The 26,990-nt window shown below is 42.1% G+C and overlaps 1 long non-coding RNA gene across 1 annotated transcript in view; it reads right to left on the bottom strand.

The window, feature by feature from the left end:
• Nucleotides 1-212: 212 nt before the first annotated feature.
• Nucleotides 213-26,990, bottom strand: part of LOC105370651 (uncharacterized) — a 91,436-nt gene continuing 64,658 nt past the window's right edge. The window contains exons 3-5 of the long non-coding RNA XR_944186.4: nucleotides 23,701-23,854; nucleotides 3,521-3,595; nucleotides 213-403 (exon numbers count right to left, since the gene is read on the bottom strand). This is a non-coding gene — a long non-coding RNA (uncharacterized LOC105370651). The remainder of the gene's footprint in view (nucleotides 404-3,520; nucleotides 3,596-23,700; nucleotides 23,855-26,990) is intronic.

The raw sequence follows: 26,990 nt of genomic DNA, 5'->3' as shown, positions 1-26,990 counted from the left end.
CCCAGGTCAACCCATCCTGGTCCCGAGGAAGTAGAGATGCTCGCCTCTGATGAAACAAGGCCACAAGCTTTGAAATCCTACTTAAATTGAAGCCCAATGTCATCCTTTAGGAGCCAAGTAATCTTGAACAAGTCTCCTATCCTCTCGGAGCCTCCATCTCCTGAGGGACAAAACCAGCATCTATTTGAAGATTCAATGAGGTAACCCACATGCCCAACATGGCGCCTGGCACCTTGTGATGGCAGCAGCTATCCGCATGAACTGATAGGACCCAGATGACAGAGTGGGTGGTTCTGAACAGAGAACTTCTCCGGGAGTGTGGAGCCCTGGCTGGGTTCTCGTTCCTTGCAGAAGGGCTCTCTCAACACTTCTGTTGCACCGGGATCCTAATAGTCTGTGAAAACTGTGGTAGGAAGAGATATTGGGGCTGAGGTCTCTGAGGTTTCTGCTCTACAAACAGGAATATTTTGCCCTACTTTGATTTAGAACAAGTGGAAAAAGGAGACAAGAAATCAAATCGTTCAAAGCCAACATATCTCTTATTGTTACCAGGTTCAGGGAGAGGGCAGAGCTCAGAGTGAGAGGCAGATAGACCTGCTAACGGAACTCCAGGAAGAGGCCCATTTTGCCTCCAACCATAGGCTCTGCTGGACTGAGGCTCACCTGTCCATGAGGGCAGGCTAGGGAGACCCTGCTTCTTGGAGCAGGGAGAATGTTTTGTTCTATGCATACTGCCATGCATATTCAGGAAAGCAGCAGAAGGAAGCCAGGAGAGGGATGCTAAGATGCTTTATTCACCTAGAAGGAAAAGTAAGAAAGGAGAAGTAGCATTGTCCTGACTTAAACCAGATTAGCATGCTCCTAACACAGTGGGCTTGAAAATTCTGTGTGTGACGCCACTGTGCCCAGAAAGAAGGTGAACAGATCAGCAATCTATCTGGTTGATCCGTCCCACATTCATAGGCTCCTTGCCTGATACCAACCCCATTCTCCTGTCTGGGCCCCTGGGGCTACTGGGGTGCAGTTTAGATTTTGCCACTAGAAGGCTCTGAGGTGGGTTAACAGCAAGGAGGCTTCATCTGTCGAGGCTGAACTTGACTCATTTCTCTCTTCCTGCTCTGAAAGATCTCCAGCTGCGTTGCCAAACCAGCACAGACCCTACAGGGAGATGAATGACCCAGGAAGACAGGAAGGTAACAAGCACACAAGGTCACTCCACTGAGCAAACGGCAACATTTGAGCCTCCCCAAATTTGAATATAAACCTCTCCTATTATCAAGGTCCCACTGAGAAGGTACAATTTGAAGATTACATCCCCTTGCAAGTTGGATCCCAAAGAAATTAAGGACTGATATCGTGGGATTGTTGGTCCTTTCAAGTTCAAAGTTCAAATCTCACAATTCTTAGGTGAAAGCGCCAGAATTCTCTTCCCTGATTTAATTTGCCCCTCAGCCTTGGCTTGGGATTCCTTGAGCAGCAACAGCCTAGGTCATTTTCTGCTGAAATGAGTGTGGTTACTTTAGGACTGAGAGGAAGGCTTGGTGCCACGCCAATTCACTTAGGAGCCTCTCTCTACTTAAAGAGTTGAAAGAGTTAGTAGGACACATAGGACTGAGAAGGCTAACACTGTTTTCCTCACCACAAAATGCCAAAAACATTCCAACCCCCAACTCTAAGGCACTTTCTCTTAGTTATCCCAGAAAAATGAAGTTTCCCAAGCCCAGCTCTTAATATCCAAGACTCTACAGCAACTCTGTGGAGAGGGCAGTGGAGAAAAGCTTCCCGGTTTTGCCCCATTGGGTTGCAGTTCATTCATGTCAGTCATCTGGATCCCAAAAGGTGGCACCTTAAATTCAAATGGGGAAAATCTTTCTTTGACAATTTAATTTGCACAAGGTGCACTTACCACCATGGAGAGGAAGACCTATTTTGACATCTTGTCTGCATTCTCAGAAAGGGTCGGCTGCCTTTCCTTTCCATTGGAGAATTCTAAACCTCAGAATTCTCACTTTCCCTCTTGGCCAGTGTTCCTCCTCCCACTATATTCAACTGAGGTGGGCTCTGTCTAGTGGGATTCTCCCATGCAAACAGGAATTTTCTGTCCTGGGGCCCAGTGGTGGATTGCACTCTCCTGCTATAAAATGACTTAGCAGGGAGACACATGTCACCAGTCCACATGTTGGCTCTCACTGGAGAATGATGCACAGGACATCACTACCCTTCTGTTTCTATACCCACCCTATGAACCTTTGGGCCCACTGATGCCTAAGTCTCTGCCTGAGCCGTGATTTCTCAGCCTTGGCATGTCCCAGACATGAGTAGCATCTCTGCCATTTCTTTCTCCCCAGTAGTGAGTTAAACCTCTATCCTCCCTTTAATCATTTCAGAGAAACCAGCTAGTTGTAGAGCTCTGGATGAGCACACCTGGCCTTGACCTGCACCTGAGCTTGAACATTTCTCTTCCCGGAGGGCACACAGTAGCCAACCACTCTGCAGACAAATAGCAGTACATGAGCCTTCCCCTCATGTGTGCAGAAAGGCCTTATCTCTACTAGTCCAATCTTTGCTTCTATCATGCTTGTTTAGGAAGAGCCATGCCTGCCCCTGGAGCTGCTACGCCTGTGGAGGGCCTCTACCCTCGCTGAGGCCTTTGTCTCCTGCACATGTATTGTTCAAGGTCAAGGTGCACCTACTGCTGCCTGTGACCACTCAGTGCCCACGCCTTTGCTGCAGCCAGCATGGCTGGCATTTGCTTGCAGGTCCCATGTGGACTGTATCTGCTAAGGTCACCTACAATGGCCACAAGCCCTTTCAGAGGTTCTCATGTGCCTGGTTTCTTTTTGCTAAAAGCCATTCATGTGGCCCCTGGGCCATTTTGCAGTGAAAGATGTGCAACTTGAATGTAAAGATAGTCGCTGCACCATGGACAAGGTCCTCACGGCTGTGGTCATCCACCAAAGTCAAATTACCACTTACCCTGAGACCTGCAGCCCCTACTGGGGCCCTAGCAGTTAAAAGCCAATGGCACAGCTGTTAAGGCCCACCTGGCCCTTCTGAGGTATTGCTGACGGCCAAGGTCAAAACACTCCACATATAAAATGTAAGGCCCACCCACCTGGCCCCACTGAAGCTACAGTCACTCCAGATCTATATTGTGTCATGAAATATTTCAGCAATCCAGACAATTGCACCCAATCATAGAGTCTTTAATATCATCCTTCTTGTCTGCCTGAGATCTGAACAGATGGAGAAAATGAGTAAAAAGAGAAATGGATAGAGGCTGAAATTTGCCTTCATTCCTGGTAACAGCAAAGTTAGAGGAAAATGGAGTTGATAGGAGAGAGAATGGGCTGCTAAGTGAGCACCAGCATTAGGCAGACACATCACCCAGCCACGGGAGCCTGGTCTACCTCCCTACAATGCCAGCATGGTGGGAGCAAGGAAGGGAGGGATGGAAGCAGCAAGTTGTCCCTGAACACCTGCTTAAAAAAGGAAAAACCAGTGGCTGGACCAAACTTACCTTGTTTGTTTTTCCAGAGATTACCAGTCAGTGACTCTTCACCCGAGAAGCAGTATAAATAAAAAGGCTAGCTGCCTGGAAGAAAACATCAAGAATGGGGAAGAAGTGTTGAATTTCCACCTTTTACAGGTTACCAGATAAAAATTCTACCATCAGTTGGTCAGTCTTTCACAGCAACTTCAGGCAGGTGTGTTAATGGTGAAAGTATAGCAGATGCCCCCGTAATGTCATCTCCAGAGAAGTGTAGTGGAGAGAAGTGGCATATATTCTGATGGGGAATATTGACGCACTGATTAAAATAAACCCCCAAACCTGCAGGAAGATACCTAGGTCCATCGTAAATGTCCCTTACTTTCCAGGCTGGCTTCCAAGTAAATATTGCTACATAAAAGTGCAAAAACTGGATTAAAAGTATTCCATTTAATAATCTCTAATTGACCATCTATTTGATGGTAGAGCTCGCATAAGATATTTGGGCCTGAGAGATAATTAATACTTGGGGCTTGCGTAGAGGAGCTTCCAATGAAGTAGAGGACATTGGCATTGTCCTGTGTGTCATTTGTTATAAGGAGCGAATGAGTAAGTGCCTAGAGTGGCATCTAGGGAATGGAAGTCATAGAAATCCAATGCTTGTGTATGGAGAAGAGATGAGCACAATGGTGACGAGGGCCTCAGATTTGGGAGTCCTCAGGGGTGGAACTAAGGAGCTTCACCTTTGTCCTGGAAGCTGCAGGGATCCATTTACAGAAGGTGCTTATGCAAATGAGAGGCCTGTTTATATTTGCATTTTGGGAATCTCCCCTTTATGGCTAAATTATGTCCCCCATAATCGTATGTTGAAGACCTAACCCTCAGGACCCCAGAATATGACTGTTTGGAGATAGGGCCTTTAAGTAAGTGATTAAGGTAAAATGAGGTCATTAAGTTACCCCCTCATCCGATAGGACTGGTGTCCCTATAAGGAGTGGAGGTTAGGACACAGACAACATACAGAACACGGGACAACTGCCAGTCATAAAGAGGCCTCAGAAGAAATTAAAGCTGCTGAAGCCTTGATCTTGGACCTCTGGTTCCCGGAAAACTATGAGAAAATAAATGTCTGTTGTTCCAGCCTCCTGATCTGTGGTGTTCTGCTATGGCAGCCTGAGCAATGAATACATTCCCTCTGACTGTGGTTTTCAGAACTGGTAGAAAGGAGAGAACTAGCACAGGGAGAAGAGTTAGGGTCATGAATGTATTAATCTAGGTGAGAAATTGTGATGAGGCCCATCCCTAAAAAAGGGGGAATGTGGCAGATTGGAAACCTTTGCAGAATGCATAAAGTTTGGGGACCTGTTGAAAATGAGAAGTAGGAGAGAAGAGGTTTCATGGGTAATTCCCAGATTTCTCATTTGACTGTCAGGATGGAGAATGGTTATTTTCATCAAGACAAATATATAATATTGGGCTACCACCATGCCCTAACCAACTGTGCTAACTGGCCAGAGTTGAGGACAAGTATATAATAAACAGAATAGCTTTCTCTAGAAACCTATGACTCTGCTATGAAAGCTGGTTTGGGAAACACTATCCAGTATCAGGGCTGCCTGCCTAGATTGTTAGATTTTGAGAGAGAAAATTGGATGATTCCCCACCCTTATTCAGTATTCTGGATTGAGATGGGTCTCTATCTCAGAGTTTGTCAGACTTGGTTTGTTGTAAGACTCCTTTCCCCAAAACGACAGAATTACCTCAAAAAAAAATGTTTTTTTCTTCTGAGTAGTCTGTGGCATGCATTGGTGCAGAGAAGGGAGCAGGGGGTTAATGCTGAATGGCAATAGCATTTATTTTCATTAGCTAATAGCCAAGTGTCTCTGATTCAAACCAACTGAACTAATTGAAGGAAAAAGAATGTTAACAGTCCCGGCTACTAGACTATATTTAAAAGCAATTGTTCTCAATCAATAAATCCTGCTGGATTGTTTGATTTCATTAAAGATGTATTTGTTACCAAGCAGCTGGTACCCAAACAGCTGCTTTTGATGGAGATTTCTGCCGCTCCATTGGATCATGGACAGTATTGCATTTGCACATTTCCAGCCTCAAGTGACTGTGTGGCAGCTCATGGAACAGCAACGGGCTCTTGCCAACTTGCAGCATTGGTTAGCCCCGGGGCTGAGAAAGAGCAAGAAGGCCTGGGAGCCTGCTTTTCCTGTTTTCCAGGAAATTTTTGTCTAATGGGGCACAAGAATATTTTTAAAATATTCTTTTTTTTTTTTTTTTGAGACAGTTTTGCTCTTGTTACCCAGGCTGGAGTGCAATGGCGTGATCTCGGCTCACTGCAACCTCCGCCTCACGGGTTCAAGCGATTCTCCTGCCTCAGCCTCCCGAGTAGCTGGGATTACAGGCATGTGCCACCACACCCAGCTAATTCTGTATTTTTAGTAGAGACAGGGTTTCTCTATGTTGGTCAGCCTGGTCTTGAACTCCCGACCGCAGAAGATCCACCCGCCTCGGCCTTCCAGAGTGCTGGGATTACAGGAGTGAGCCACTGCACCTTGCCAAAACATTATTAAATATAATATACCAAAGTCACCTGAGATGGAGCACCCTACAGCTCTAGCTTACGATCCATCAATTATTCTGCAAACATTTCCTGATGTCCTGCTCTCCGAGAGGGTAGCAGAGATAAAATGGAACAACCATCTCTGGCATATGTTGATTGGGACCTTGCTAGGTGCAGGTACTATTATTCCAGGTGTATCATACAGACGGTGTTATTTGATCCTTACATCAGATGATGAAGAATATACTCTTGTTATTCCCCTTTTACAGATGAAAAAAAGCAAGACAGAGAGGTTTAATTTCCCTGCTTTTCATCACGCAATTCATAGTGACGTTTATTTTGTTTTGTGCTTCGCATTCTCCTCTCCCACTAGACTGATGTATTAATAGAAGGTTGGGCTGTGACCACATCTATTACCCTCCTCAGAGGTGAGACAACACAAGGCGGGGTGGCAAGACTTCCACCCTGTGTCCAGATTACCTAAATTCAAACCCCAGTCGCAGCTCACCAAACAGACTGCTAGATTTTTTTATGTCTTCATTTCTTCATCTGAAAAAAGGAGACAATAATATAATACACCTCGTAGGATTATTGCAAAGATTAGAAGAAGTCAGTGCTTGGATCATAGTAAATGCTCAAGAAATCTCAGTTGTTACCACTACTGTATCGAGTGCTTCATAAAAATTTGTTAAATGAATGAACAAATTAAATGCAAGGGCAGAGGAACCCATGGTGTATTACAAGAAAACAGAATGGATACACAGTCCAAATTGAGGAGCTTAGGGTTTGTGTCAAAAGATTTGACCTGGCCGGGCACAGTGGCTCATGCCTGTAATCCCAGCCCTTTGGGAGGCCAAGGCAGACGGATGCCCTGAGGTCAGGAGTTCGAGACTAGCCTGGCCAACATGGCAAAACCCTGTCTCTACTAAAAATACAAAAAATTAGCCAGGCGTGGTGGCAGGCGCCAGTAATCCCAGCTATTCAGGAGGCTGAGGCAGGAGAATTGCTTGAACCCGAGAGACAGAGGTTGCAGTGAGCCGAGACCATGCCACAGCACTCCAGCCTGGGCAACAGAGTGAGACTTGGTCTCAAAAAAAAAAAAAAAAAAAAAAAAAGATTTGACCTGACTTAACTCTTGTGAAGAGTGGACAAAGTGTTGCAAGATGAAGTGGGGAATGTTTGCTCTAGGAATAGGAAGGGTATGTGCAAAAGCATGTCAAGATTAGGAGAATCCAGGGTGTTTGGACGGGAGGGGCACAGAGTCAGAGGCTGACAGCATTTAGTGAGCCTGATCCAGGGTCCACAGGTGCCACTGAAGACCTGAGATATTTTGCTACAGGCGCTGTAGAGAATTTGTATCAGCTCTTCATTCTATCAAAACAGCAAAAACAGGGACAGTTTCCCCAGCCTCCAGAGAGAATGTTTTGTCTCTTTTCCTCCTCGAAGCTATTTTCCAATGGCCTCCTGCAGTAAGTCTTTGCTGATGCCCCTGCTAATGGTCCCATTTCTCTCTCCCAGTGCCCTGCTTGCCCTGTGCTTCTGGCAGCAGCACAGATGGCCTTGCAGGTCATGGACATGTCTGCCTCTCTTACTGGACACAGAGCCTCTTACGGGCTATGACATCCTGAATTTTCTTGTGCATAAACAATGCACAGGAAGCATACGCCGAATTGAATCACTGATTCTTAAGCCAGTGGTAGCATACACTGCCAAAATGTCCAAAGCCCTCTGATGGAGAGCTGTCTCTACAAGGAAGTTTTTCAGAGCCCTGGTAGGTGGTAAAAGTTGTGACTCTTTAGTCCAGCAGATTGGAGCTCAAATGCAAACTGTGGCATCTCTCTGCTACCTCCTTCTTCTGAGTCCCAATTTACCTGTTTCTTTCTGCCTGCTCCCCTAACCCAAAGCAGGTGGTAATGGTTCCCTTGTCCACCTCCATCCTATGGGACAGGCAGGAATTGCTCCTTCCAACTCATGAGAGCTGATTTTACTCTCTTTCCAACTTTGGGTACCCTGGTGGGAGTATTTACACCACATAAATTGGCAAAATATACATATCATGACTTGCTTTCCCCGGAGAGGTGGTTGTTGGACATTAACCAGCACTGCCTGTTGATCATGTGGCTCTGTTAATGCCCTCATGACAAACAATGAGATTGATCCGTTATAAAAATGACAATAATAATAATCTTGATTATACCTTACGTTTACATCATTTACACCATGCTTTAGAATTTGCAAAAAATTTTTACGTAAGTTTTACATAACCCCCATGAAACCAGGAAATGCATTTATCATGTTTATTTCTGGGGTACCATTTTTAGCACAGTCTCAGGCAGGCTGACTAGGTACAGTGTGGCAGGTTGTATAACCACACAAAGGTGTCCAGACAAGGAAGCAAGAAGGGAGTAAAATCTAGCTTGTCAAACCATACTGTACGGGGCAGTGTCTGCTCCGAGGTCTCATCTTTGTCTATGCTACCAAGGGCTAGGTGATCTACATGCCCCCTGGCACATGGAAGGTACTCATTAAACATTTATTGAGAGAAGGAATGGATACATTTGGGCTACACAAGTAGCCTGTGAATCTAGTTTTGTAAACTCCATTATACAGCAAAGGTATCTAGTTTACCCAAGATCACGTTCTAGTGTAAGAATTAGGAGCACGAACCCTGAAGCCAGAGGACACCCTACTCCCTGCCTCATTACTATGTGAAGAGGTAAGTATCTTAACCGCTCTCTGCCTCAGTTTCCTCATTTGTAAAGCAGGGATAGTAATCATATCAACTTCTTGGTGTCATTATGAAGATTACATGGCTTAATATATGTAGAATACATATAACCATGCTCTTATTGAGAAGTTATGTGTTAACTGGCAATTATTTATATGTAAGATGGTTCTAAACGCTAAGACGTGAGGGGTTACTGTGATTGTTTGAGTACCAATCAAGGAGGCACATTTTTCTGGGAACTTTATACATGAGAATGTCTAATCAAAAATGGTAGCATCAATTAGACATTCTTATGTCTTATGAGTAAGAAATCAGAGAGATATGTAAGTTGCTAAATATTGCAGAGCAAGTGAATATTTAAGCCTAAGCCTTTATCTGCCAGCATTCAGAGCCTATGCATAGTTTTTCTCTATTTTGGTGTTCCTGTTCCTACTCTACTGAAAAATAAGTCACTCTAGACAGCCTTACTTTCCAAGCAGCTAAGTATTTAACTCTTTGAGCACCAAAGTTTCTTATTTTTAGCCTTCATATATATATATATATAATAAAATATATATAAATAAATGTATATATTTATAAAATATATATAAATAAAATATATATTTATAAAATATATAAATAATATATATATATTTATAAATATATATAAATAAAATATATATATTTATAAATATATAAATAAAATATATATATTTATAAATATATAAATAAAATATATATATTTATAAATATATAAATAAAATATATATATTTATAAATATATAAATAAATATATATATTTATAAAATATATATAAATAAAATATATGTATTTATAAAATATATAAATAAAATATATGTATTTATAAAATATATAAATAAAATATATATATTTATAAAATATATATAAATAAAATATATATATTTATAAAATATATATAAATAAAATATATATATTTATAAAAAATATACATAAATAAAATATATATATTTATAAAAAATATACATAAATAAAATATATATTTTATAAAATATATACATAAAATATATATTTTATAAAATATATACATAAAATATATATTTTATAAAATATATACATAAAATATATATTTTATAAAATATATACATAAAATATATATTTTATAAAATATATACATAAAATATATATTTTATAAAATATATATAAATAAAATATATATTTTATAAAATATATATAAATAAAATATATATATATATTTTATAAAATATATATAAATAAAATATATATATATATTTTATTACACTTTAAGTTCTAGGGTACATGTGCACAACGTGAAGGTTTGTTACATATGTATACATGTGCCATTGTGGAAAACAGTGTGGCAATTCTTCAGGGATCTAGAACTAGAAATACCATTTGACCCAGCCATCCCATTATTGGGTATATACCCAAAGGAATATAAATCATGCTGCTATAAAGACACACGTATGTTTATTGTGGTACTACTCACAATAGCAAAGACTTGGAACCAACCCAAATGTCCAATAATGATAGACTGGATTAAGAAACTGTGGCACATATACACCATGGAATACTATTTTCAGCCTTCTTAAAAGTATATCTCTCTTAAAATACAGGCATACTTGAAGACATTGTGTATTCAGTTCCAGATCACTGCAATAACATGAATATCATGTTAAAGCCAGTCACCCAAGGTTTTTGGCCTCCCAGTGCCTGTAAAAGTTATGTTTACTCTATGCTGTAGTCTATTAAATGTGTACTAGCATTATGTCTAACAAGTATACATACCTTAATTAAAAATTACTTTGTTGCTAAACAAGTGCCAAGGATCATCTGAGCCTTCAGAAAATCACAATCTTTTTGCTGGTGGAGAGTCTGGCCTTCATGTTGATGGGTGCTGACTAATTAAGGTGTTGGTTGCTGAAGGATGGGGTGGCTGTGGCAACTACTTAAAATAACACAAAAATGTAATTTGCCACATTGATCAAGTCTTCCTTTTATAAAAGATTTTACTGTAACATGAGATGCTGTTTGACAGCATTTCACCCACAGTAGAACTTCTTTCAAAATCAAAGTTAATCTTCTCAAACCCTGCTGCTGCTTTATAAACTAGGTTAATATGATATTATCAATTATTTGTTGTCATCCAACAATGTTCACAGCATCCTCACCGGGAGTCAATTCCATCTCAAGAAACCACTTTCTTTGCATATCCGTAAGAAGCAATTCTTCATCCATTCAAGTCCTACCGTGAGATTGCAACAATCAAGTCACATCTTCAGGTTCCACTTCTAATTCCAGTTCTCTTGCTATTTTCACCACATCTGCAGTTACTTTCTCCACTAAAGTCTGGAACCCTTCAAAACCACCCATGAAGTTTGATATCAGCTTCTTTCAAGCTCCTGTTAATATTGCTTTTTGACCTTCTAGGAGATGTGAATGTTCTTAATGACATCTAGAATGGTGTATTCTTCCCAGAAGGTTTCCAATTGACTTTGCTCAGATGCATCAGAAGAATCACTATCTACGGCAGCTATAGCCTTAAAAATGCGTTTTTTTAAAAGTAATAAGACTTGAAAGTCTAAATTACTTCTTGATCCATGGGCTGTAGAATGAATATTGTATTAGTAGGCATGAAAGCAGCATTAATCTCTGTATACGTCTATATCAGTGTTCTTGGGTAACTAGGTGCATTATCAATGAGCAGTAACATTTTGAAAGGAATTTTTTTTAATATTAATAATAGGTTTCAACAGTGGGCTTAAACCATTCAGTGAACCATGCTGTCAACAGATTTACTTTCTGGGCTTTGTTGTTCCATTTATGATGCATAGGTAGAGTAGATTTAGCCTAATTCTTAAGGTCCGTAGGATTTTCAGAATGGCAAATGAGCGTTAGGCTTTAGTTTAAAGTCACCAACTTCGTTAGATCACAACAAGAGTTAGCCTGTCCGCTGAAGCTTTAAAACTAGGCATTGACTTCTCCCTAGCAATGAGAGTCATAGATGGCATCTTATTTCAATGTAAGACTATTTTATCCTCACTGAAAATATGTTCTTCAGCATAGCCACCTTCATCAATGATCTTAGCTGGATCTTTTTCAGAACTTCCTGTAGCTTCTGCATCAGCACTTACTGCTTCACCTTGCACCTCCATGTTATGGAGAAGGCTTCTTCCCTTAAACCTCATGAACCCACCTCTGCAAGCTTCCAACTTTTCTACTACAACTTCCTCACCTCTCTCAGCTTTCATAAAATTAAAGAGAGTTAGTGCCTTGCTCTGGATTAGGTTTAAGGGACTCTTGTGGCTGCTTTGAACTTCTACCATGACCACTAAAGCTTTCTCCACATCAGCAATAAGGCTGTTTCACTTTCTTATCATTTGTGTGTTTACTGGAGCACTTGAATTTCCTCCAATAACTTTCCCTTTGTATTCACAATATGTCTATTTGGTGCAAGAGGCCCAGCTTTCAGCCTGTCTTGACTTTTGGTGTGCCTTCCTCACTAAGCGAAATCATTTCTAGCTTTTGATTTAAAGTGGGAGATATGTGACTCTTCCTTTCACTTGAACTTTGATGCCATTGTAGGGTTGTTAATTGGCCTAATTTTAATATTGTTGTGTCTTGGGGAATAGTGAGGCCCAAAGAGAGGGAAAGAGACAGGGGAATGGCTGGTCAGTAGAGCAGTCAGAACCCACATAACACTTAATTAAGTTTGCCATCTCATGGCACATACAGCCCCAAAACAATTACAATAGTAACATCGAAGATCAATGATCAAAGATCACCGTAACATATATAATAATAATTTTGAAATATTGTGAGAATTACCAAAATGTGACACAGAAACATGATGTGAGATCATGTAGTTAGAAAAATGGCAGAGATAGACGCTCAACACAGGGTTATCACAAACCTTTGATTTAAACAAAAAATCAAAACAAAACATGTCTGTGAAACAAAGTAAAATCAAACATAAAACAATGAGCATGGCTGTAATAGGTTCTTCAAAAGCAATGACACCACAGCAGCCATGAGCACACCTAGTGCCCAGGTCTTGGTTTCTAATTCCAATTCCCAATAAAAGGAGCCCACGTTCCTTGAAGAATGGCTGATTTTAGGCCTGAGGCAAGAAATATACAAGATGAGCCTGGCATATGACAGTGCCAGAAAGCAAAGCAGTGTTCAAAAGACAAAATAATGGGGTATGTCAGAAGAAAACAGAAGACAAACGAAAGAGCTCCAAATGCTCAGAGCTACAACAATTTGAGCAATACAACAAATAACATCGTATTGAATTATAATCTGAAATATAACATAGCCATGATTTTATCCTAATAATAATGAATGACTGAATAAAGACATAAATGGGAGATAATGAATAAATCTCTCATGCAGAAGAATTCCAAATAATTTATTTAGATACTCTGCCCTCAAGGAGGTGAAGCATAACTCACCACCCCTTAAGTGTGGGCAGTACATAGCAACTTCCTTACAAAGAGTTCAATGTGCAAAGGAAGAGAATAAAGAGTCACTTGGCAGTGGAGAAACCTGACAAACCCTCCTCAGAGAGGTGACGGAGGTCAACATCAACAGGGATAAGTCACGTTGACAGTATGTGCCCATGATCTGATGGGATGAGCATGGTGGTTTATCTCTGTGATCTTCCTTTTCAAGATCTGTACCACCAATCGTACCATAAGAAAAACATCGGTTGAACAAAACTGAGAGAAATTCTACAAAATACCTGGCAACATCATCAGAAACAAGGAAAGTCTGAGAAACTCACAGTCTACAGCTAACAGACCACAGGGATGTGATGGCTAAATATAACATAGTATACTGGGTGGAATCCAGGAAGAGGAAAAGGACACTACATAAAAAATAAGGGCATCAGAATAATGTATGGACTTGAGTTAATCTCAGTGTATCAGTATTGGTTTATTAGTTGTGGCAAATGCACCAAACTAAAGTCAGATGTTAACAACAGGAAAAAATGAGTGTGGGGCACAGGGGAACTCTTTGTACTCTCCGCAATGTTTTTTTGTTTTGGTTTTTGTTTCTTTTTTGTAAATCTAAAACTATTTCCAAAGAAAAAGATTATTTTAAAAAGTGCAAACGTAGAATGGTCCTGTCTTTTATTTTCTATTTTTTTCCTTCTTTCTGTTTTGGATTCACTTTTGTGAAAGACACATTTCACTGGACTATAAATTAGTGATGACGACTGTGGCTACCGTAGTGGGCAGGGCTGTTTGCCCTAAAATACCTGGCTCCAGTTCCTTGTGTCGATTATGTTGCTGTTATCATTGTTGTTATTCTCTAGTGAGGAGCTTCAGAGAGCTTTCTGTCTAGTTCTCATCTGTCATGTTTTACTCGTTCACTGTCTGTGGTGGCCTCTTGCTTATTTCTGGGCTGTATTTTTAGAGTCTGAGAGTATAATCCAGTAGAAGTGCGTATGAGTATACGTCAGTTTATGAAAACGTGGGGCAAAAGCAAGTGGGTAGCTTTGGAGCGTGGTCCTCAGTCCTCTTTGTAATGCATCTTCAGTCTATTTGCAGTTCTTCCTAGATTTTCTTTCTAGTTATCAGCTATGTTCTTGACAGGAAGAGTGACAGAAAATTTTCATTCTGGATAAGGCCATTTCTAGGCAATTACACCTTCTGACCACCCTCTAAAATTGAAAAAAAGTTTTATGAAATAACATTGTAGAGCTCCTTTTCAAATCCTCTGACCTGAGAGTAATGTGGGAGAACCTGAAGAGCCCCTTGAAGCCATCAAGTGTACTTTCTTAAAGGACAGGCTTTCCAAAGCACATGGGCCTGTATTTCCCTCCTCCACGTGTCAGCTGAAATCCAGCACCAAGGATAAATTGGGTTGGACAGCACAAGCCCCAGCGCCAACACTCTAGTCAAACCAAAGCCCCGGAGACCGCTGAAAACATTAACTTCAAAGAACGGATTGTGTTTGCCCAGCTCTCTGCTTCCTGGTTTTGACCAAGACTAGGATGAGAAAAGCAAGCGTTTTTCCTTTGTGAGGTGTCAACTAGTTCATATCTGCAGCTCTGGAAGAGTGTCTGACTTATCAAACACCCTTTGAAGCCAAAAGGGATTGAGAATATACAGAAGTCGAATCCGTGGGTGTGTCTTCTCTCTCTCTCAATCTCTCTCCTTCCCCCTCCTTCTCTCCCCTATTTTCCCCATTTACTCTCTGTATCCACAGTTCTCTTTTTCAGTTTGTCCTTCTGTTGCACCTTTGCGAGCAGCTTAGTAGAGAGGAAAGCATGTACAGCACTGGCTGTGGAGCAACTTTTCCCAGTACTTGAATCCTGGCCCCCCTAGTTTTTACGTTTGGCTTAAGTTTCCTGAGCTCTCTGAATCTCAGTTATCAGCTTAAAGAAAGATGACGATACTTTCCTGGCCGAGTCTTTATGGGGATCAATGACACATAATGCCCAGCCGGGCAGGGGGAGCTCAGTTGATATGAGCTTCTTCCTCTTCTCCCTTTGGATCTTGGTGTATTTTACAATCTAGTCACATCACTTTCTGTATGTCCAGCCACCTCTCCATGCAGGGCTGCCACTTGGTTCACTCTACTACTTTTGTATTGAAAAATATGTGTCTCCCCCAAAGGACAAATTAATAAAAATATAAATAAGCCAAAAAAATTCTGCCTTCTGTTCCATTTGATTCTTAACATAAAAAGCAGGGAAACTGTTTATTTTCCACTCTATTTTAGCTTGACGATGATTCCGCAGAGAAGTGTTTTCATTTCATGCCCTGTTCCCAGCAAGGAGTGAGGGAGGCGAAGAGACTTACCCAAGGCCATGCTGGGAGCTATCTTCAGAATCTGGATTCCAGTTCCAGCCAGTCTGTCCTCTGACTCATGTTCTTCCAGCCTCGTCTGGAGGTGTCCAGGTTGTCTATCGTGCCTCCTTCATGTTTGTTTGTTTGATTGCTTTGTTTGATCCTTCATGTTTGTTTGTTTGTTTGTTTGATTGCTTTCCCTGTGCCCAGTGCTGCTGACTATATAGAAAATGAGCAAGATGTGATGGGGTCCAAGGAGTCCAGGTCGTCGAGTCAGTAGCCTGCCATTGGGCCATTGCAGTACAGCATGGGGAGGGCTGTCACGAGGGAGTTTAGGGGATGATGCCCCCAGGTGAACCCAGCCCTTACTCTGGTAGGCCCACACCATTCCTCCTCAGCCTGGGGTGCTGCTAGCTTTCTGGCTTTGCGAGTCCCTGCATTGCCCTCTGGCCCCCAATTGAATCCCAACAGTTTCTGTTGTCACCATGTAACTCTGTCTCTGTGTTAAGTCTCTTCTATTATGAAGATTCAAAGTGTTTTCTGCTTTCCTGTTTGGACTCAGAATGGTAGACTCCAATTATTATTGAGACACAAAGCAATCATAACTGATTAATATCACTGTTTTAAAAAGAGCAATGTCTTTATTGTCTAAGGAGGCCATATAAATTCATAGGAAAAAGCCCAACCCACTAATAGGGCCCCATATGTACTGAGAGTGATTGGCATTCGCTGAGTATTGATTACATTCCAGGAAGCTCAGGGCCTTAGAGTCCTCAGCTCATTCAATCTTCACAACAGCCCTATTGTGACTTATATTCATTTTACAGAAGAAATAACTGAGGCCCTACATGTTAAGTAAATTGCACTAGGGGTCAGCTTAAAAAAGTAATTTGATTTTTTTTTCTTTCTAATTTTGAAAAGACAATAATTGCATTTCTCTAATTGCCCAGAATGAACATGCACTTCTTTTAAAATTAGAAAATAAAATAATAAAAAGTTATATGTGAACAAACCAAAAAGAAAAAAAAAGCACAGAAGTCTATCTTCTTTTTCAGTAAATGTTTAAATAGTAAATGTGTCTATAGTTGTTAGTCATACAGTCTCTGTCACAATGATTTAACTCTGTTATTATAGTGTAAAAGCAGCCACAGGCCATTTGTTAACAAATAAGTGTGGCTGTGTTCCAATAAAACTTTATTTAAATAAACAGGCAGTGGGCCAGATTTAGCTTGCAGTCCTTAGTTGCCTCACCCCTAGCTAGATCACGACAAGCACTCGATAAGCATGCATCGTTGCTAATGTTTAGAATAGTGATTTCAAATCTTACTTGGTCAAACTCTTGTCTGATTTTGCTTTCCTTCCTTCGGGTACAAAATACTCTTAGTTTGCTACCTGCACCGCCTAGGAGCACTCAGCACTGCTGTCTCTGTTGACCAAAGCCTTGTGATTACCCCACATTCCTCCTGCCGTTTATTCCCCTGGAATGAGTTCCCCCAAGCATGCTTTGGTCCCAGTACTCCATTGCACAGTCATTTTGGAAAATGTCAGCTGTTGCCCCCCATAACAGACCTTGATGGGCACAGCACGAGGCTTGTCACTGTATGTGAAGTGCTGTGAGGAAATTATAAAAACATGATTAAAGGAGAGAATCACAGAGAGCGAGCGAGACAGTGGTTTCGGGGAGAGATGTCAGCTCGCATATTGTTTTAACTAGAAATACTCCCACAGTGTCATCAACTCCACAAAATACACAGTTGAAAGTAACAGCTTCTTAATGCCAAAAGGCTTGATTTGAAACTTCATGAAGGTTCAGAACTTCAACTTGAAGGGAATGAATGTTTAGGAGGCATATTGTGTGTGGCAGACTCTCTAACCCACATTTCAATGGCCTGTTCAATGAGGCTTTTCCACTCTCATACCCTTTCGGTGAGAGAGTAATTTGCCCCAATCTTCCTTAAAGACAATTTAGTCATTTTTAATCACAAGTCTTTAAAATTGGCATATCCTCGGACCTAACAAGTTTACCCTTAGGACTATATCTGAAAGAAATAGTTGGATGAACTCTGTGTGTAGAAGAGTGTTCACCATAGCAGTATGTATTCTGGGTAGCATCCTGAAGCAACTAGAATTCCTGATAATTAGCGACTGTTTAAAAAGATATATTGCATCCCTCTAACGGAAGAGTTTATAGCTGTTAAGTATCAGGTTTTAGAAGACTATTGAGTGAACAAAGAAAGCACTCACAAAAACAGGCTATAATATAACATAGCCTATATGATTCCAATTTTGAGAAAATAAACATGTTGTGTCCCTGTCAGTAGCTGGAGTTGCATGAAAATGTAATAGCGATTATTTCTGCTGCCATTCAAAACACGCTTCATTTTGTAATTTACATTTTTATATTTGTTTTTCAAATTTTGCCCATGAGTATATTTTTCTCTTAAATGTCAGCGAGAAAAAGATAATAAATTTTGAAAAGAGAAAATAAATGTTCTCTAAAACATGCTAAATTTAAAACAAACTGGGAAATAATGTTTGCGACATAAAGACAAGATTTTAATATCTTTAATCTAGAAAGATATTTTATAAATTAAGAAAAAATAACTCCAGTATGAATTCACAGAAAGAAAGCAAACAGAAAACATATTCACACACAAAAATTCACAACTGAAACCATGTTCAAGTACCTAATAAATATGTAAAAAGTATTTATCTTTGCTAGTGATCCAATAGACACAGATGAAACAAAATATAAGGTAGTATTTTTTAGCCATTAAATTATCAATCTTTGAATGATACTAATCAGAGTTGCTGATGACAGATGACTCAGCTCCTCACACCGAGGTGGTTAGCGTCTAAATTTGTTCATTCTTTTTATAGAAAGCAATTTGTATTTGCCGTGACACATGACATCACCAGTACCGAAACTTTGCCCTAATAACTCCATCTCTACAAATGTTTCCTAAGGAAATAAGAGTACTTAAAGATGTTTACAAGGATGCTTATTTCAGCTTTATTTAAAATATTTGTTTGTAAATGTGGAAACAATATGTGTTTAGCAAACGAGAAGTGGGAAAATAAGTTGTGATGTGCAGATAGAATTAGGGTAGAAGATTATATATAGTCATAGGTTAGAAGATTATATAGACATCAAATTATATTTTGAAACATTTTTAATGATATATAAACATGCTTTATGAGCAAGTGAGAATAGCATGATGCCAACTGTCTCTCTACGTTCCAATTTAGTAAAGTGTCAACGCACACACATAAAATCACTGGAGGGAGATCGGCAGTGGGTGATACCGGTTGCTGATGTTATGAGTAGCTTATTCCTATGTCCCCTAGATGGCCGATAATCCAAAAGAAGCAAATCAATATTGAAAACCACAGACCAAAAAACAAAACAAAACAAAATGGCGGGGAAGAGGAGGCAGAAGAGAAGAAGAAAGAGAAGGAAGAGGAAGAAGAAAAAGAAATCCCAGGACTCTACCTGGTCCTCACTGAAGAACTTTTTTGCATGTATTTGAAGAACACACATGCAGTATTGCATTACATCTGGTACCTGCCATCAGGCTCTGGCCTCATTTCTTTCCATTCACCTGTAAGTACCAGTTGACTCAGTTCTGCATGTCATGGTAAATATTCCAAGTTAACACTTGACATTCTGAAGTGCTGTACGAATCTAGGCCCTGTTGCTATCTCCTCTCAGTAGCACTTTTGTCAAACATTGTCACTGAAGGTGACTCTGGGGAATAGATTTTTCTTGCTCCTTTATCACTAAACTTGCTTCCTCCTTTTGGGAACATGAAACAGGTGGAATTTATAGTGTAACCATTATAGTTCTTAAAAGAGATTCTGAGAGCTTCTCAGAATCTCAGCTCAGCATTGGAGGCACCTGAGGAATTTTAGGACCTACTGATGCCGAGTTAAACCCCAGATCTCTTGCTGTGAGGCCGAGGCATTGGCAGTCAAAGGTGCCCAAGTGATTCTCATGTGCAGAGAAGGCTGAGAACTGCTCTGTTTTTTACCGGCACGTGTTTTCTTTCAAAAGAATGTCTGTTGCAAGGGAAGGGACCTACCACAAACCCAACACTCTACATGCTCACACCGACTATTCATTGTCATATTTGATTTGTATAATCACCCCTTAAGGTAAAAGCTCTGAACTTCCTTTCCAGTTGAGGGAATACACTCAGAGAAATTAGGGTTTCCTGAACTCAGGCAGCATGAGGCATGAAAAGGAAAGACAAGAATAACAAAATGTCCTGGGTTTGACTCTTGTCAAAGCTGTGGAGTGGTGGGCAAGTCCTCTTAGCATCATGCTCAGTGATCTCTGATGTTCTTTACTGATAGCCCAGTGACTCTCCACTGGGGGCAATCGTGCCCCAGGAGACATTTTGATTGGCGCTACTGGAGGAGGAAAGTGCAACTGACATCTAGTGGGTAGAGGCAAGAGATGTTGCTGGGCATCCTATAATACATGGGACAGTCCCCACGGCAAAGGATTATCCAACCCAAAAAGTCGACAGAGCCAAGGCTGAGAAGCTGGCTTTAGCTGCAAGTTATGAAGATGAATTGAGATGCATTTCCTTAATGTGTTTAGACCGGACGAGTCCCTCGCTTGGCAAAGACCTGAGAAATGCAATGATCTCTAGTCCCCTTTTCTGTCTCTTCTCAGGGCACTCGAGTCTAAGCCAGGAAGGAAAATCTTCCCAGCCTAAATTTGACAATGTGGAGGCCAATCTGGCATGAGACAGTTTATTTCTACACCCCCAGAGAGCAGTAAAGTCCCTCTCAAAAGCCAACCCAGACAAAACCAGTCCTTTCTGGCTCTTCTTTTTATCTGCCACACTTATCTAGGGCTCAGCTCAGGGAAACCTCCCCCAGCTGGAGACTAACTTTAAGGGCAGGTCCCGGCTCCCACAGCCTTGCAGGCACCGTGAGAACCTCAGTCTCCCCAGAGGAAGAAGCCATGGGCTGAAGAGACAGCTGCACTTATCACTTCCTCCCATCGCTCAGTCCGTTGGGCTGTTCTCCAAAGTAGGCCAAACTGCTCTGGGTCTTGTTAGGGAAGAGACCCAGAAACCAGCAGGACAGGAAAAGGCAGCTCTGCTGGTCTCTGAGAGCTGAGAGTGAGACAGCCCCAGGACAGCCCACAGCCCTGGAGAAGAGAGCCCTGTGGCTGGCAGTGTGGCTGGAGAAATGTCCAGGGGCCTGGATTCTGAGTCACTGAAATAAAAAGAGGGCTTTAGATGTCAGAGGACTGTACTAGGTGTCCTAGCAGTTGGTGGACCCATTCAAGCTTTTACTGAGCCTTTGAGGAGGGAAGTAATTTCAGATATCTGAAATTACCCAGTCCCCTGTGTGATCCTGCTTCAACTGTGAGGTGTTTAAAAAAAAAAAAGATTCAATGACACTCGTGAAAGCACAGTAGGTGGCCCATGCTTAGGACCATCACAATAAGCACGAGGACCCCTGCAATGAGATTTTTAGTCAGGGACAGAGATTGGGCTCAGCTCTAAATACAGCATGAGCCAATGAGAATTTATGGCCAAGGAGCAGGGCAGGGTCAGTGGATGCAGAGGTACTAAGATAAAACGTCAGCGGGGAGGATTCTGGCCAAAGCAACCCACTCATGTAGATGTCCATTCACCCCGTAGACTCTCATGCCTCATGCGTTTTTCAAATGTTGATGATCAATGTGATGTATGCAGGATTCTCACTAAAGACAAGCCAGGGTGATCAGGCAACACCCAGGGGATGATGGAAGATGAGGAACTTGATCAGAGGTTGAGGATGATCAGATATCAAGGGTGATGGGTTCTTGCTAACCTGACTTAGCAGGGTTCTTTGATAAAACTGGATTTTACAAGGAAGTACAGAGATGGGCTTAAGAGAAGGTCCAAAAGCTTGACTGAAGTTTGGACTAGCAGAACATATTTGTCAGAGGCCACCCTTGCCATGGGGCCCATGGTGATACTTTCTCCCTCAGGGTTTCCAGGAGTTGCCCAAGAGATGGAGCAGGAGGACAAGAGCCCTTCCCCACTCCTCCGCTCTTCCACTCAAAAGCCCCATCTGGCTGAGGGATGGCACTTTCCATTCCAGTCCTAGGAAGCCATGAGGAGTTAGGAATAAGTCCCCAAATGATGCTTTTGCATTCTCTTTCCCACCAAAATATGATCGACTGTTGAGACCTGCCTCAGACCTGAACCTGGCATCTCTACCATGCATCCCTGGAAAATAGCACATCCTCAGCAAAACCTGGGATACCAGCTCACCTCACCCCACCAGGATCCTCTGGGATCCTTGCAAGCCCCTTGCACTGTGATCCTTTATGGTCCCTGCCTTCTGGATACTCCTGTCACTGGGCAGTGTTGCTCAGAACCCTCCCTCCCCTGTATCTGTCTCTCCAGTTCAGCCTAAGTTCCTTGAGGGCAGGAGATATGCATGGTTTTAATTAGCACCACCATCCCTGGGGTCATGCCCGGTAAGTACAGTAATCCCCCCATCTGTATTTTCACAGTTTCAATTACTCACGATCCACCACAGCCTGAAAATATTAAATGGAAAATTCCAGAAACAGTTAATCAGTTTTAAATGTTGCATTGCTCTGAGTAGCATGCTAAAATATCATGCTGTCCTGTTGCATCTCACTGGGGCATGGATCATCACTTTCCACCATATTCCATGCTGTCTACGCTACCTGCCCATTAGTCACTTCATGGCTGTCTTCGCTATACTGACTGTCATGACATCGCAGTGTCTGTGCTCAAGTCACTCTTATTTTACTTCGTAATGGCCCCTCTGAGCAACGATAGTGGTGCTGGCAATTCGGATAAGCCAAAGAGAAGCTGTAAAGTGTTTCCTTTTTTAATTTTTTTGAGTTGGAGTCTCACACTTGTCAGCCAGACTGGAGTGCAATGGCACAATCTTGGCTCATTGCGACCTCAGCCTCCTAGATTCAAGTGATACTCTTGCCTCCGCCTCTCAAGTAGCTGGGACTGCAGGCATACACCACCACGCCCAGCTAATTTTTGTATTTTTAGTAGAGACAGGGTTTCACCATGTTGGCCAGGCTGGTCTTGAACTCCTGACCTCAGGTGATCCGCCTGCCTTGGCCTCCCAAAGTGCTGGAATTACAGGCGTGAGCCACCGTGCCCAGCCTGTAAAATGCTTCCTTTAAGTAAAAGGTGAAAGTTCTTGACTTTTAAGGAAAAAAAAAATTATATGTTGAGGTTGCTAAGATCTATTGTAAGAATAAATCTTCTATCTGTGAAATTGTGAAGAAGGAAAAAGAAATTCATGCTAGTTTTGCTGTCATATCTTAAACTGCAAAAGTTATGGCCCCAGTGCGTGATAAGTGCTTAGTTAAGATGGAAAAAGGCATTAAATTTGTGGGTGGAAATTATGAACTGAAATGTGTTCCAAATGATGGAAATAGGGTTAGGTACTACCCAGGGTTTTAGGCATCTGCTGGGAATCTTGGAACACATGCCTGGCGGATAAGAGAGGTCTACTATAGTTCAGTTAACATTCTTGTAAAAAAAGACTTTACCTCCAAATTCTCATAGATATACTCACTACCCAGGACAGTTTTCTAACTTTTCAAGAAGGCCTGAACTGTCAAAGCTCCTTCTGTGAGTGTGGAAAAGGGAGGCTATCCACCAGGTTTCTCGGCAGACATTCCAACCTTTGCCAACATGTAAGTGGGTATGCGAGAGAGGACGGAGGTTTTGAGGTTTTGATGCAAGACCAATGGACTGTTGTGCAAGCCAAGGTGGTGAATTAGTGACACCCAAAAGGTCACGCTGCCCTGAGTTCACGGTCTGGCCTCCATGCCCCCAAGTCCTGTCTCAGTCTGTGTGTTTAGGCTGGCTGGAGCCTCCCAGCTGTGCACCTGCCCCTCCTTAGACTTAACTGTACCAACGGGATGCTGGTGGCTGGACTGATTGTCTATCACTGTCTCATCCTTAGGCTTCTCAAATCTGGAGATGTAGATCATCAGAGGATGTTTATTACAAATATTAAAATCAAATGTGCAAAGCAATGAAGCTGCCCTGATATGCAAATATGCAATCTTTTCTCCTCTGCCCCCATGAGAAATCTAATAGGGTAGTGGACTTACAATTGGGTTTTGGACCCCACTTTGTCACTTATTAAGCTTGCAACTTTGATGAAGCACAAAATAATGGTGTCCTCTGCTCACGTCATCCCATCAGTCCTGGCTCATGATAGCTAGTCAATGTTGACAGTTTCCACTAGCGAGTTCTTCCATGGGCCTCAAAGAAAACAGATAAGTAAAAAATGAATACATATTTCATATGCACACATGCATGACTCATGTACGCGAACATTCAGCCCTGTATGCTCGAATGCCTAAAGTATTTTTCAAATGTTGATGATCAATGTGATGTATACAGTGGTGATTAAAAGCCTGGTCTGCCTTCAACCTCCCTGAGTTTAAATCTCAGCGCCCCCACCCCACCATGTACCAGCCATATGACCTGTGTGTGTCACATTATCACATTCCTTACAAGAGTGATGTGTCATCTACCCCTTGGATGATGCTTCCAGTTGCTAAGGACGTTGACCACTGAGCCAGATTTCTCTGAGCCAAATCTCAGCTTTGCACACTGAGACCTTGGCAGAACACTGACCCTGTCTCGAGCTCAGTTTCCGAATCTGTGGAACACAGGTAGCCGTCATGACTAACTCCTAGGGTTGCTGTGAGAATGAGATGAGTCAATACTTGCACCACTTTTAGAGCAGTGCCCAGCACCTCAGACTTTCTCTAAGGGTTGGCTGTGTGGATTAGGTGGGATTCATGGGGATGAGAGAGATAAAGCACTTAGAACAGCAGGATCACAGACAGGATCCAAAAAGTGTTGGCCTTTGTCCTTGTTGTAGTGCTGGTTTTGGTGTTGTTATTTCTGTTTTACAGATGCGTGGAGGCTCCACTGGATCATTCATGAGCATGTGGCTTGCAAATGACACAGGGTGGTTCAAACGGCTGATACTGTCTGCAGCAAAGCAGGGGTACCTGGGCAACACGAGACACAGTGGCATGTTTTTCTTAGAAGTCCTGGCTGCTGGTTCTGCCATGTGAACTAGATTTAAACATGGGCTAGAAGGCATCTTTTCAAAATCTTTTCTTAGTTTTCCATAGCTGTATAGGGAAAGAAATAAGAATATTTTGAACGACCTACAAGGCTCCTATGATCTGTCCCCTGCCCACCTCTCCTGCCTCAGCTTCTAGGATGTTCTTCTCATACTCAGCTGCAATCATATTTGATTTCAGTTCCTTGAACATGTTAGGAGCCTTCTTGCTCTAGGGTATTTGTGCATGCCAGCCCCTCTTTCTGGAGTAAACAAACACATGAAACATGTTTGATGCACCTTTTCTTCTCTATTCTTCTCTCTTATAAATTTGATACCTTCACGTGTGTCTCAATGTAAAGTTTCCCACTTTGAAAGCACAACTGATGCCAACAAATCGTGGCCAAGGGTTATTCATTGAGAAAATTGCAATACACCCACCAGCTCATAGGATTCAGATTGGCTTTGTTTGGACCTGGTCACCGCCTTTGTTGAGTATTAGCCTGGCACAGTCCTAGGGGAGCTACATGCTTCATCTCATTTGGCCCTCCCAGTAATGATACAGCAATTTTTAGCCTTGCTTTATAGATGAGGAACCCAAGACCCAGAGATGTCACATAGTATAAATGAAAGTTACAAAGCAATGCTGGAAGAGGTGGGGCTCAGAACCAGATCTGCTTGATTTCTTCAATCAGCCATTGATTGATTTGATGAGTATTTTTTGAATATTTACTACCTGTCATGATCTATGGCAGATGATGGGTTTCAACTGTGACCAACAGACATATGGCACCTGCACTGGTGGAGCTTACAGTCTAATTGGAGAGACCAACAAGTAAACAGAGGACCATAGCAAGTGTGGTAGGGCATAGAAAAGAAACAAAAATCCCAGCCTGGCAGCCATTGGAAGCTCCATAGACTAAGTGTATCAGTTAGAAGTGCTATGTAACAAACCGACTCGGATCTTGTTGCCCTAAACAGTAGCAATTTAACTCACAAGTCTTCACTTTGGCAGTTTGGGCTGGCTTAGCTGGGCACTTCTTCCAGGTAAGGCTGGACTTGCCCATTCATGAATATGTGATCAGCTAGTGTGCTGGCTGCACTTGGCTGGATTCGGATGTCCTTGTTTAGGGAGCCTAGAGTCTCTCTTCGTGTTTGTCTCTATCCCTCCAGCAGGTTAGTTGAGCCTGTTTACCTGCATACCAGTCAGAACTCCTGAGGGCAAACCTACTGCCAGGCATTTTTTAGGTCTTATATATTCCGGTATTTGCATCATCAATCACATAGGCTGTTGTTTCATTCACCAAACAAGCCACAGTCCTGAGTCAGCGTGGGAGGCACCCAAGGGCTTGGACACAGAGAGGCTTTGACAAATCAGGTCTGTTACTACAATCAAGCAATAGTGCCAACTGGACTGAGACAGGAAGGTTGAGAACACTTCTAAGCAGAGAGAAAGGACAGGGTAGATCGTGTGGTAGCTCTGAACGTAAAATGAGCACTGACACACTAGATGATGGTAGCTTTGTGTTATTCCTGCTTTCCCTGATTGTCTCTCCAGATCCACATGTAAGCCACTGGGCTCCCAGAAGAAAAGGGATGATTCACCCAGATCTGAGCCAAGCACAATTTGGGCAGCCCTTTGACAAACCCAACTGTTGCCAGTAAATGGGGATCCAGAAGACGTGAGCCCCACCTTCTGAGGCCAGCATCTTGTCTCAGGGTTCCAGGCCAAGCTGTGCCCTGGTTCGAGCTTGAAGCCAAATGACACTCAGCATGACAGCCATGGGTTAGGTTTTCTATATATCACAAATAAAAATTCAATTAAACATAGAGGCGGGTGGGGACGGTGTTTGGGGAAAGGAGTATTGGTGGGGGGGAAGGGATCTAAGGTTGGTTTTCTTCCTAACTTGGCAAGTGTGAACCTAAAATGTTTCTTTTAAGTCGGAATGACCATGTCATTCCACCTTCTGCACCCCCTCCCCAAGCCTGGTTCTGATTATTAGCTGAAGTTCAGTGCAAGTCAAGGCAATTCTGGTTCGGCAGCCAGGGAAAAATGACCCCTTTATTCAGTGAGGAAAAGCTGAGTCTGGTGGCTGAACGACCGCTGGGCTCATGGACATGGGGCTAAGGCCACATCAAAAAGTATTCTTTCTCCAAGCCCAGAGACCCATGGTTCCCACTCTGTGTGAGGTTCCCAAGTCATGGAAAACCCCAGGAACATCCCAGGAGCCTGGAGTGAGATCTGGGGTCTTGGGCCGCAGCTCGCAGTGTAAACGCAGCAGCCTTCCTCAGAAACTGGCTGTGTCTTGTCAGTCAGGA

This window comes from Homo sapiens, chromosome 14 (genome assembly GCF_000001405.40).
Source record: "Homo sapiens chromosome 14, GRCh38.p14 Primary Assembly".
Taxonomy (NCBI): Eukaryota; Metazoa; Chordata; class Mammalia; order Primates; family Hominidae; genus Homo; species Homo sapiens.
Note: the sequence above shows the minus strand (reverse complement) of the source record. Positions and strands in the feature narration are given on the sequence as shown.